The sequence below is a fragment of the Homo sapiens genome, chromosome 22 (assembly GCF_000001405.40).
Source record: "Homo sapiens chromosome 22, GRCh38.p14 Primary Assembly".
NCBI classification, from domain to species: Eukaryota; Metazoa; Chordata; class Mammalia; order Primates; family Hominidae; genus Homo; species Homo sapiens.
In genome coordinates, this window is record NC_000022.11 from 45,570,557 (window position 1) to 45,583,403 (window position 12,847).

The 12,847-nt window shown below is 53.6% G+C and overlaps 1 protein-coding gene across 1 annotated transcript in view; it reads left to right on the forward strand.

Moving 5' to 3' along the window:
* The window catches only part of FBLN1 (fibulin 1), a 98,253-nt gene that overhangs the window by 67,674 nt on the left and 17,732 nt on the right, over positions 1-12,847 (forward strand). The window contains exons 15-16 of the mRNA NM_006486.3: positions 3,955-4,097; positions 6,421-6,552. Coding sequence (NP_006477.3) covers positions 3,955-4,097; positions 6,421-6,552 — 275 coding nt within the window. The remainder of the gene's footprint in view (positions 1-3,954; positions 4,098-6,420; positions 6,553-12,847) is intronic.

Genomic DNA, 12,847 nt, shown 5'->3' on the forward strand with positions numbered 1-12,847 from the left:
TCAAGAAAGAAATAACAAGAGATGAAAGGCTTGAAGAAAAAGTGACAAATATTCAAAATCTGTAAGAAGATCTGACATTTAGATAATAGGACTCCCTGCAGAAGAAGCCGAATACATGGGGGAAAGTACTATACATGATCTCAAGAAAACTTTCCATAAATTAAAAAAGAGATTTGAAATTCCACATTGAAATAACACATAGCGTACCTGAGAATATCAACAAGAACAACCAACACCAAGACACATAACACATTCTTGTGAAATTATTGTACTTTAAAGAAAAGGAGGAAGGCCGGGTGTGGTGGCTCATACCTGTAATCACAGCACTTTAGGGGCCAAGGTGGCAGATCACAAGGTCAGGATTTCAAGACCAGCTTGACCAACATGGTGAAACCCCGTATCTACTAAAAATATAAAAAATTAGCATGGTGGTGCACGTCTGTAATCTCAGCTGCTCAGGAGGCTGAGGCAGGAGAATCGCTTAAACTTGGGAGGCGGAGGTTGCAGGGAGCCGAGATCATGCCACTGCATTCCAGCCTGGGAAACAAGAGTCTCAAAAAAAAAAAAAAAAAAAAAAAAAGAAAGAAAGAAAAGGAGGGAAAAACAAACTATGAACATTTAAACAAAAACAGTAAGTGATTTATAAAGGAAAAAAAATGTTCTCATCAGACTCTTTGACAGCAACACTTTATGCTAAAAGAAAATAAATAACATATTAAGGACTCTCAAGAAAAGTTAAGCCCAGAATTTTATACCTAGCAAAACTGACTTTCATGTGCAAAAAGCATAAACTATTATGACCATGCAAGCATTAAACATTCAGTTACTTCTAAAACTACAACTAAATGAGTGTTATAAGGAAAAGAGTATAGTATGAATTACTGGATAGGTCAGACAATGTAGACATAGCACATTTATTTTTAAACTCTGAGCCGAATAGGGAGAGCATATCAAAAATTATTTTCAATAATTATGTTAGTCATGGTAACTTTAGAATTGTTATCCTGAGGCTACTGTGTAGGTAATGTGGGATAATGATGGGATACTGCATGTCCTTGAGGACCAGGATTCTGATGTGGAAGAAAGAATGTGCCTTTGTAATACAGAAGAGATTAATTAAAAAACCATATGGTCCTTCTTTTGAATTGGATATCAGTATGAACTCTTGGTGTATATTAGTTTTTAAATGTTCACTGAAGAGGCCTAGAAACAATGACCAACCCCCTAGCACTGAGCCTCCCTAGTATCCAGACTGGTCTTGATAAGCCATTTCTCACTAAAAAACAAAAACAGGCCAGGCGCGGTGGCTCACACCTATAATCCCAGCACTATGGGAGGCCAAGGCAGGCAGATCACAATGTCAGGAGTTCGAGACTAGCCTGACCAACATGATGAAACCCCATCTCTACTAAAAATACAAAAATTAGCTGGTCGTGGTGGTGCCCGCCTGTAATCCCAGCTACTCAGGAGGCTGAGGCAGGAGAATCACTTGAACCCGGGAGGTGGAGGTTGCAGTGAGCCGATATCGCACCACAGCACTCCAGCCTGGGTGACAGAGCGAGACTCATCTCAAAAAATATATAAAAATAAAAATAAATGAAAAACAAAAACAGAAATACAAATCCAAGACTTCTTGGAGAAATGGTTGATTCCAGGTCTTGGGCAGTAAAAGTGTAAAATGAGGCTGGATCATCTCGTCACATCAGATAGCAAGAAAGCTGTGAAAGACGACAAGGGCTGGGCCAAAAGGACCCAGGAGCCAACTTCATTTTCCCTCTGGCAAGAGATGGGAAAATTTGAGTTTCAACAAAGGATAAAAATTGCAGAGGATCAAACCTCATCGGAGTGGCTTCCATCATGGGTTCATACTGATTTTTTTTTCCCCAAAAATCCTTTGGAGAATGATAGCACACTAGTTAGCTTATTATCCTGAAAATTAGAAAATTCAAGGAAACAACCAAGTATTGATCTGCTATTTCCTGGTAATTAAATCACAAGAGCACATGAAGGGAAGCATCTGTTTACAGGAGTAGTCCAGCTAATAAATGGAAGTGAAGTGGTAGAACCAGACTATCGGCATTTTGCAATCCTTGATGAATCAGTGGGCGTAGGCCTTGAGCATCAGTAGATGCTGTCCTCACAGAGACAGCCAGTCACTGTGTGGCTCTCACTGAAGACACACTACCACCTACCATCTTGCCAAAGGGACCGGGCCTGCATGGGATCAGGCCTCTGGATCTGGCTGCCAATGTCCAAGAAATCCAGTGGACAGAGGACCATGCTGAACTGCACCGTGAGGATGCAATCAGCAAAGTCCAGCCTGTAGGAAACACAACAGCTCAAATTCTTCAGGTTCTTTAATAGATAAGTTGTATGGAAAATAAAGGAGGCCGGGCACGTTGGCTCACGCCTGTAATCCCAACACTTTGGGAGGCCAAGGTGGGTGGGTCACCTGAGGTCAGGAGTTCAAGACCAGCCCGACCAACATGGTGAAGCCCCATCTCTACTAAATACAAAAAATTAGCCAGGCATGATGGTGCATGCCTGTAATCCCAGCTACTTGGGAGGCTGAGGCAGGAGAATTGCTTGAACCCAGGAGGCGGAGGTTGCAGTGAGCTGAGATTGCGCCATTGTACTCCAGCCTGGGTGACGAGCAAAACTCCGTCTCAAATAAATAAATAAATAAATAAATAGAAAAGAAAATAAAGGAACAGAGAAGAAACCTGTAGCTTAAAATGGACTTAAAAGGCAGAGCAAAAACTTGTTGATGGACAAGTCTGAATGATTGTGTCTAGAGACGCACACTGATGTGAGAAAACTATGAAGAAACCCAAGTAGGCCGGGCTCGGTGGCTCAGGCCTGTAATCCCAGCACTTTGGGAGGCTGAGGTGGGCGGATCACAAGGTCAGAAGTTCAAGACCAGCCTGACCAACATGGTAAAACCCTGTCTCTACTAAAAAAAAATACAAAAAAAATTAGCCGGGCATGGTGGCATGCGCCTGTAATCCCAGCTACTCAGGAGGCTGAGGCAGGAGAATCGCTTGAACCTGGGAGGCGGAGGTTGCAGTGAGCTGAGACTGTGCCACTGTACTCCAGTCTGGGTGACAGAGCGAGACTCTGTCTCAAAAAAAAAAAAAAAAAAAAACCCAAGTAGAGCACTGCCGTGGGACTCAGGCTAGGGGTCACTGTTGGGTTGCAGGAGGGGTTGAGTTCTGTCTGGCAGTTGCGGGGCGTTTGGTGGCTGGCCAAGTTCTCTTTCTTGACCTGGGTGGTGATTATAAAGGCGTTTGCCTTGTAATAACTCGTTAAACTATACTTTCATTTTGTGTAATTTTGTATCCGTGTTTTATTTTATGATCAAGAGGTTGTAAAAATCTGTCTAGCACAGTACCTGGAACCCAGACCTCTGAGAGACTGTAGCCTCTTCTGCCTCCCCGTCACCTGGTGATGTGGAATTGACTGCCCTGTGCTGGGCACCGAGCTTGGCGCTTTCTATCTGCTCCTTCGTTTATTACCCTGCTGCCCAGCCTCACTGTGGGCTCTGAGAAGGCGGGACCATGTGTCCCTTGTTCACTTTGCTGTCCCTAGCAGCCGGCGCCTGGCACTCAAAACATATTTGTTGGGCAAGTGAACCTGTGACTCTATTTTGCCATTGTAGCTATTGATGCTCAATTCGTGCAGTTGACAAATGTCCAAGCTGTGCTTATCCGCCAGGGCACATGGAAGCTGGAGGGTGTTGCTGGCATTTAGGTCCCGGTCCAGTTTGCAGGAAGGGCCATGAAGCCTCCCCACAGAGCAGCCAGGCTGCAGAGACCACTGTCGTTCTCTGATGGAGCTGTCTCTGGGACAGATGCCCCTGCCCTGGCCACCTGCTCCTCCTCCCTAGACCTCGGCCCCTGTGGGAGCTGCTGTCCCAGCTTCCCCGTCAGCCTCGTGTGCTGTGGTTCCCCTCAGGCTCCAGCAGGAGAAGACAGACACGGTCCGCTGCATCAAGTCCTGCCGCCCCAACGATGTCACATGCGTGTTCGACCCCGTGCACACCATCTCCCACACCGTCATCTCGCTGCCTACCTTCCGCGAGTTCACCCGCCCTGAAGGTGAGTGGGATGGGTGTGGGGGTCCCAGGGCCCCCTAGGGCCTCCCTCGGCTTCAGCTGAGGGCTTGGCCTACAGGAGTTGTTCCTTGTAAGATGTGGCCCAGGCTTTGAAATGCAGAACTTTCTTTTTTTTTTTTTTTTTTTTTTGAGACGGAGTCTCGCTCTGTCGCCCGGGCTGGAGTGCAGTGGTGCCATCTCGGCTCACTGCAAGCTCCACCTCCCGGGTTCACGCCATTCTCCTGCCTCAGCCTTCCGAGTAGCTGGGACTACAGGCGCCCGCCACCACGCCTGGCTAATCTTTTTGTATTTTTAGTAAAGACGGGGTTTCACCGTGTTCGCCAGGATGGTCTCAATCTCCTGACCTCATGATCCACCCGCCTCAGCCTCCCAAAGTGCTGGGATTACAGGCGTGAGCCACCGCGCCTGGCAACTTGACATGCAGAACTTTCTTTGTGTCTGTGTCCCCCCCACACCCACCTGGCACAGCAGCATTTGGCCCATTCTCAGCTTTCCGTTCAGGTGGTCTTTTCTTATGGGTAACGGTTGTTCTGCAGAGAGCCATTAAGCGCTGATTCTGTGACCAGCACTGGAGAATCAGGGAGGGCCTCCGGGAGGAAGTGATGGCTAGGCTGGGTCCTGAGTGGTGAGGTATTTGAGTGAAAGGGGGAGAAGGGGAGGAGGGTGCCCAGTGGAGCAGGACATGGCCAGAAGGGTCTGGAGGTATGGGGGGGCGGTGTGGGCGTTTGAGAAACTGAGCCAAGGTTTTCTGCTGGAGCGCTAGAGGCTTGGCAAGAGGTGGGCTGGAAGGATAAACAGGAGGCTAAAACTGGAGTTGGGCCTTCAACCCCCAGGCTTTGGGGGAACCATCGGAAGGTTGCAGTGGAGGAGGTTTGCATATAGAAACATCATCCTGTTGATCCAGGGCCAGGTGAACTGGAGGGGCCAGACGGGGAGCAGGAAGCTCAGGTGTAACCCAGTCAGTGCTCCCACACCCCAGCCTGGCTCTCTAGGAAGCTCCTGGCATGCAGTGTAGTCATGTTGTGTAACCTGCCATCACTGCACCGTTTCTCTGGAGCAGGGCCTGGGCTGCGTGCTCCCAAGCCTGGCAGAGGGCTATGGATGGAGCATTGTCCTGTTCACCTCGCTTCCTGGCTGTGCTGCCCGTGTGCCCGGTCCCCAACCACCCCCGCCCTCTAGGGAGTCCCTATCCCTGGCCTGCGGAGAAGCATGCCATGATGAGTTCATTCAGCAGCCGTGGACGGAGCCCCTCTGTGTCAGGCTCTAGGGACATGGTGATAAGAAGGGGTCCTCCCACCCTCTCAGGGGAGGCATGCAACGGAGCCAGCCGCGAGGACACCAGTGTTTACACCATGACACAACCATGCGGGGGGGTGGGGGGAGGAGAGGCTCCCTCAGCACGTGGTTGCCCAAGGAGCCGTCCCCAGTCCCAGTCCCCCTAGGTTTGCTCCTCCCGAAAAGGAATAACGCTGAATCGTCACAGGGTGGCACAGACTTGGGTCAGAGAAAATAACTAACTGGTATTTGCCTTTTGCAAAATGATGGGGTTTCACCAAACCACATACAAATCCTTCCCAAATCCCCAGTGGCTGGTTTTGTGGCCTCTCCGGCCAGCCCCGATCTGAGTGTTGGTTATCGCAGGGAGCCGAGTGCCGTTGGGACACCTGTTAGCATCTTGGGCCCAGGAAATCCACACCCTGACCTTAAGTGCTGAAAGGACCTTTAGTGGGTCTCCGCCGGCTTCCTTCCTCACCTTACAGGTGAGGAAACTGAGGCCCACAGAGAGGACTCCCCCAAGACAGCCCAGAGCTGGGGCTGCCCTGCTTCACTGTCTGATCTGGGAGATGGACACACACCCCCCAGAGAACCCAGGCCACCGCTCAGGGTGGCCCCCCTGACCTGTGGCACTATAGATGGGAGAGGAGCCCACCCCTCTGGCCTTTCTGCTGTCTCCCTCTGTCCCCTCACTCGCTTTCCTCCTCTGGTCCCCACCTTCATGAATATGCACAGTGACTGATGACTTCTCACCAGCCCTTCCTCTGATTAGCTCTGTGTCCCCGAGGAAGATCCAAAATCTCTCCTGACTTCAGTTTCCCCTGCTATAAAACAGGGATGGGCTATGATATAGGAAGGTCCAGACCCCTCCACCCTCCCCACACAGGGGATCTCTGGCTTCATTGATGTTGTCTCATGAAAGGGCCCTGGGTTAGGTCTTCATTCCCCAAGGGTGAGTTCCTGGGGACGAGGCTGGGACTGGGGCTGGGGCCAGGCTGTGCTGAGCCCTTCTCCATTCTGTGCCTCTGCAGAGATCATCTTCCTCCGGGCCATCACGCCACCGCATCCTGCCAGCCAGGCTAACATCATCTTCGACATCACGGAAGGGAACCTGCGGGACTCTTTTGACATCATCAAGCGTTACATGGACGGCATGACCGTGGGTGAGTGGCTGGGAATATCAGCTCTATCCAGGCACCCCTCCCCCTCCACCCCGAAACCCTCTCTGGCCCAGCCCAACTCCCATCTGAGTCCCCTCCCCAAATTCAAGCCCACCCAACCTTCAGGGCCCAGCGCCGAGGCCACCACAGCTCCCAATCGGTCTCGGCCGGAGGAACAGCCAGAGTGGGGGATCCTGCCTGGGATCTGACCCTAGCTGTGCCACCCACTCTCTGGGTGACCCCTCTGGGTCTCGGTCTCCCTGCCTATAACATGGGTGGGTTCCAGAGAGCGCTGCGCCTCACAACCATGAATTTCAAATGATACCACCCAAGTAAAGTGCTTGTCCTGAGGGCTGGCACAGTCCCGCGGTCGGTGGGAGCTAAGGGGATTGTTATTCTTGGGGTGCAATGGGAGGGATAGCAAAGTAGGAATCAGAGGGCCTGAGCTCTGGTCTCTCAGCCTTGGAACTAGCTGGATTCGCCATGTGGCCTTGAGCAGTAGTCGTCCCCTCCCTACGCATCAGTTGGTAAGAGGACCAAGGCCACTCTGTGTGCACAGCCCATCTGAATGGGGAGCTCACTGCTCTTTCTCCCTGGAGATCCGGTGTTTGGGGAGCGTGAAGGGAGGCTGGGGCATGAGGGGACTGTGGAAGTCCTGTTGGTGGGTGCAGGCTGGGGAAGATGTTTACAGGCGGGGGCAGGGCCCTCCCTGGCTAGGAACGGGCTTTAATGACAACCTACTCGTGTGAAAAAATATCCAGGCCCACTCCATTCCGCACGCTTGTTTCTGTCATTCACAGCCCCTCTCCTGAACTGTCACATTTTAAAAGATTTACAGTCATGGGAAATGAAAACGGTGGCATCTGCCATTTTGGACTCGGATTTATACTCTGAACACTTTCAAAGCAGCTGAGCAACGGACGGACAGTCCCTGACCTCCCCTGGGCCTCAGTTTCCCCATTGTGAACTGGGAGGAGTGGGCTTCCTAGTCCCTTAGGCGCTGGAGTCCGGGAGGTCCTAACCAGAACCCACGAGCGTGCAGTGCGCACAGAGCAGAGCGTTTTGGAGCCTGGCCTCCAGGTGGCGCTGTTGGACCTTGGACGCTCAGTCTTTGCGCCTCAAACCCGACGGTTGTTAAAACTGGCAGCTGGAGAAAGGGAATCGTTATTCCCGTCTTGCCAAAGAGCCATTTATAGCACCTTTACAAGCTTTTAAATGGGTTTGCATGTTGTAAACATGACTGAGTCACTGGGGGGCTCCCCACCCCAGCCTCCTCCTGCGCTAGCTGGCAGCAGGAATAATTAGTTAATTACAATTAATGGTGCATTAGCCCTCGCGTGATTCCAAGGGGAAGGCGCATGGTTTGGTTGTCGGCAGTTGTGAAACTTGCTGCTTGCCCTTGAGTCACTCCCCACTCTGGGCCTCAGTTTCCCCCATTGTGAAATGAGAGTTTAGATGAAGACAGCCTTGAGGGTCCTTCAGGCCCCTGTGCAGGAGGGCAGGCAGGGAGGGGGTTGGGTCAGGGCTTTGTCCTGTCCCACTGGGTGGGTGGGGTATGCACCCTGACACTGGCCCACAGCCGCCCCCCGCCCCAAAGGGGCCAGCCCTGTGCTTGATGCTGGGCCTGCAGTTGTGGCTGGGACATGGCCCTCAGGTGATTTCTAGATCTTGGAACATGGGAGTTTGGAATCCTAGGACCTTCTAGTTCACTCACTCATTCTTTCCGTTTCTGAACCCTTCTTGAGCCTCTACCTGTGCCTGACCCTGGGCTAAGCCTTGCAGATACAGAGATGGATAAATGCCACATAGCCCCTGAGGACTTTGCATCTCAGCAGCAGGGAGAAGCCACCCCGTATCAGATCATCAAAATATGATGCCGAAATAGGCATGCACAGAGACAGGCCTTGATGGCCTGTGGAGGCTCTCTTAGGGGAAGTCTCCTGGCAGGTTTTACGTCTTTAGTTCCCACCTACATCCTTCCTGGGGTGACCCAAGCCAAGAGGTTGGGCAGCTGCTGGGCCTAGAACCAGCACCCACCAGCGCCTTTCTCTGGCTGCATCTGCTCCAGACAGAACCAACCTGGGAGTGTCTGTTTCTCAGCTTCCCATCCACTGGGGCAGAAAATCCTGGCATGTCAGAGCCTGGAGGCTCCTAGAGACCATCCCTTCCTTCTTCCGTAGGAGGGGAAACTGAGGCCCGGAAGGGCGAGGGGGCTTGCCAGTCTTCTTACAGTGAATCAGGGACACAGTGGGCAATGGAAAGGAGTCCCAGGGTATGAGAGATGATCACAGGTGCCGTCCCGGCAGCGGGCTTCTGGGAACGGAATGTGGATGAGGCCACAAGGACCCAGCGGCTTCCCCCGGCACAGTTGGTCACGGGTGCCCTGGTCTTTGGAATTCTGGGCTGGGGCTGCGTGGGGGAGGGCCCCAGCCTGGCCCTTGGAATTGTCGTGCCTGTAGCCCTGTGTGCTGGGGAGGCCCCTGCCTCTTCCACGCCTCGGTCTGTGTGCAGGATGCCCCACCTGGCTGGGCTCCTGGAGTTGACCTGGTGCCCATGTCATCTCAGGTGGAAGACTGAGACCAGGGAGGCAAGCCCTGCGTGTTGGGACCTAGGCTGCATTGCTGGCTGGCTCCTGTCTCTGTCCCCACTGCGCTGATCTTATTTCTCTGTCTGAGATCTCCTCCTTGGGCTTCCATATCCCTACTTCCTTCTCCCTCCTCTTCTGCCCAGAATAACTTCCATACATCCTGGGAGCTTCCTGGTCCCTAGGGGCAGCCATCCCGGCACACGGCTCCTGGCCTGTCCACCTGGTAATAGATGGTTCCACCGTTGGACTCGAGCCCAGCCTGAAGCAGCCCTGAAAACGTGGGGTTGAACCCTTGCCGGCTCCTTACCGTTGCTGGGCACCTTCACCCCCGCATTCCCCAGTCCTCACAGACACTGCCAGCGACGGGTCATGATTGTCTCCCTTGGGCAAAGGAGGGAGCTGAGTTAAATGACCGCCTGAGACTGTGCAACTGAAAAACTGCAGGGCCTGGGATGTTTTCCGACTTGTTTTTAGCAGTGCAGTTCTGATTTCAAGCAGTGACTTAGGCAGAAACCCTTCATGGTGGTGGAGAGGAAGAAAGCGGCTTCCAGGGCTGCTGCTCCTGGTGGGGAGCGTGGGAGGCTCTTGAGCCTCCTGGGCAGCCCCGTGCAGCTCTGTGCTGCCTGCAGCACACGGCAGGGAACGCCGCCTACTCACGGTGCTTGCTGAACACCTGTCTGCTCTAGGCCATGCCCTGTGTGGACACTGGGCACCGGATCAGGAGGGCTTCCTGGAGGAGGTGAGGCCCGAGCTGAGTGTCCTTGCATGTGAGGGAGTGACACTTAGTGAGCACCTGTGATGACCAGGAGCCAGGGTTTCATCATCGCCAGGACCCTGTGACACGGTGGGATTATCTCCTCTAACAAAGGAGAGAGCGAGAGCCAGAGAGGGCAAGAGATTTGCCCGAGGCCACTCAGAGCTGGGGCCAGAGCGGGCCTGGAGCCCGGTCTTCCCCAGACACCACACCCGCCCAGAGCCGGAGCCCAGGGTTGACTGCTGCTGTGGTGGGCTAAGTTGCTGTGAGTTTGGATGTCCCAGAAAAACAATCAGCGCACAGGCCCCGGGGCTCGCCGTGTTCAGTCCTCCCAGAGTAACAGAAGAAGAGGGAGAAATGCCCCGAGTCCACTAAGAACCTGCAAGGGCCGGGTCGTCCTCTAATGTAGCCTTGAAAGACCCGTTCTTAGCGGGGATCGAGGAGCCCGCAGCAGGGCCCGCGCCGTCGTCTTTGTAAAGCCCCCTTGCATTCCTCTTTAACCGGCTGTCAAAGAAAAATGAAGAATGCGTTTTCGCCCTGTGCAAAAATGCTCCATTAATGCCCGAGGGATTCTCAGGCCACTACAAAGCTTTCCTTATCTGGCTCTGGATTCATTCTCAGCTCTGCAGCCTGTAATCCGGGGTGCTCTGGGAAGAGATCTTTCAGGTAGTATATCCTGAGTGATGACTAATGGGGGAGCCCTGGCTGCAGCAGGGGCGGGCTGTGTATCATCAGCGTGCGGAAGAGAGAGACAGAAAGGCAACTCGAGGCCACCCGGGCTCCCCGGGCCCCTGGGCTATGGCTGCTGTCTGAGCCTCAGACTTCCCCTCCAGCCTCCAGATCACCACTTCCTTTTAACTCTCAGGCCAGCCACATCTGTGTCTGTCTGGCTCCCTCCACTCAGCCTCAAGACCCAGCATGTGTGTGACCACTTCCAAGAAGCCTCCCCTGACTGCTCCAGGGTCATGGCTGTGTGATAGGAGGGCCTGGCCTGCAAAAACGCCCTCCCTATTTCTCCAGGGAGGGAAATCTGTGTGCTATGAGGCTTGGTTGTGGCCACATTTCTGTTAAAACCCTGCCAATGCCAACAGGAGCTACAGAGCCTGCAGGTGAAGTAATTCTTTGGCCTACGGACGAATTTTGCATGTGGACCTCCTGACCCTTGGGCCTCCCGGGTTGCAGGGAGCTACGGAGTTGTCTTTGTAGTTTTTTGCAGGCCAGCCCCTCCTGTCGCACGGGCATGACCATGGGGCAGTCAGGGGAGGCTTCCTGGAAGAGGTCACACACATTCTGGGTCTTGAGGCTGAGGGGTGAGCCAGACAAGTGGGACACCCAAACTCACAGCCACGTCTGTGGCTGGCCCATGAACAGCGCGATGAGAGGCAGGGAGCCAGGAAGGGAGGGCACAGCCTGCGGTTTGGGGCTGCTGGAGCATCCAGGGTGCAGGGAGGGTCGAGGGGAGGCCGAAAGGGGCTGCAGGGCCAGGCCTTGGTGGATGCTGTCCTGGGGACCACGGGAGCCACGGGAGGTCTGTGCTGCCCATGGAGCTTCCAGATCCCGCTGCTTTATTTAACCCACTGGGCCTCCTGCAGCTTGAGGTTGCGGTTGAGGTTGTACCCACTCAGCAGGTAAGAAGACTGAGGCCGGAAGAGCCAAGTCCCCAGGATCTCCCAGCCAGGAAGTGTTCGAGGATAGGGCTTAGACCTGAACTGCCCAGATCCGGGACTCCCCATCCCCATGGCCTATGTTAAGCCCTGATTATTTTTTCTGGTCTATACTAGCTGGTATCTACACTGGCTGGCATCTGTCAGCCGTGGTTGAGTCTGAGTCCCAGCCGTAGAGGATAAATAGTGAAGCACCTCCTTTCACACAGTCACAGTGCTCCCGGCCATGGGATCTTGGGTCCTGGGCCAGCCCCTGATGAGGAAAGACCTCCCTGTATGTCCAGGCAGTCAAAAGATGAAGTTCAGATGTCACCATGCTGCGGAATGGCGAGGTCCTGGAGGGTCTCTCTCCGGCTCTTTACCTGCCGAGGGCCCACTCATCCTTGGTCACACAGGCGACCCATCATGCTGCTCCCTGGGACCCCCAGACCTGCCTCCTTTCCAGGACCCCTCCCAGCCTCAATGATTCCCCAGTGACAGCCACAGCCGCACCTGGTGCAGATAGATGCTGGGGCTGGCTGCAATTTAGGGAGGATCTTTCTAGGCTGGGGCAGGAGCTTCACGGCTGGGAATGGGCTTTAATGACAACCTACGCATCTTAGAAGACATTCAGACCCACTCCACTCTGCACAGTTGTTTCTGGGCAAGCCCTCTGATATGATTTAGTGCACGTGTGGCTGGGTGTGGAGTGTGTGCGTGTGTGTGGGTGCGTGTGAGTGGTGAGTGCGTATGCACAGGGTTTGATCTCTGAGATGTTTTATACTCTCTGGCTTGGAGAAGGGACAGTCCTGTAGTATCAAGACCAGACCTTGTGTCCCCAGCCCAAGGCTGCCCTGGGCCTAGGGACAGTATTTGGAGACTTCGCTGGCAGTTTTGCGTTGGAATCACCTGGTGCCTCCCTGTACGTCCACCCACCCTGTGCCCAGATCCCCTTCGCAAGCACCATATGCTGTTAGATCCTCGAGCAGCCTTGTGGGACAGCCACCCTGGGGCTGGTATCACCATTTATGTAAGAAAAAAAAGGAAGTGCTGGCCCAGGGTCCCACAGCCAGCAAGTTGGAGCTGCACTGCCCAAGCAGGTCCTTTAGTCAGCTCTCTGTTGTCCCCCAAGCCCCTCAGCCCCCCAGGCAGCTCTAAGGGCTCAGCTGCTGCAGGATTCCTTAGAGAAGCTGAAGGGTTTGGGTCCTCAGCTCCTGGCCGGGGCAAGTCTGGCCAAGCAGCATGGCAGCGATGAAGTCCACATGATCGAAGGGTGGATGCTTACCTTAGACAGCTGCTCACCTTAGACATGGT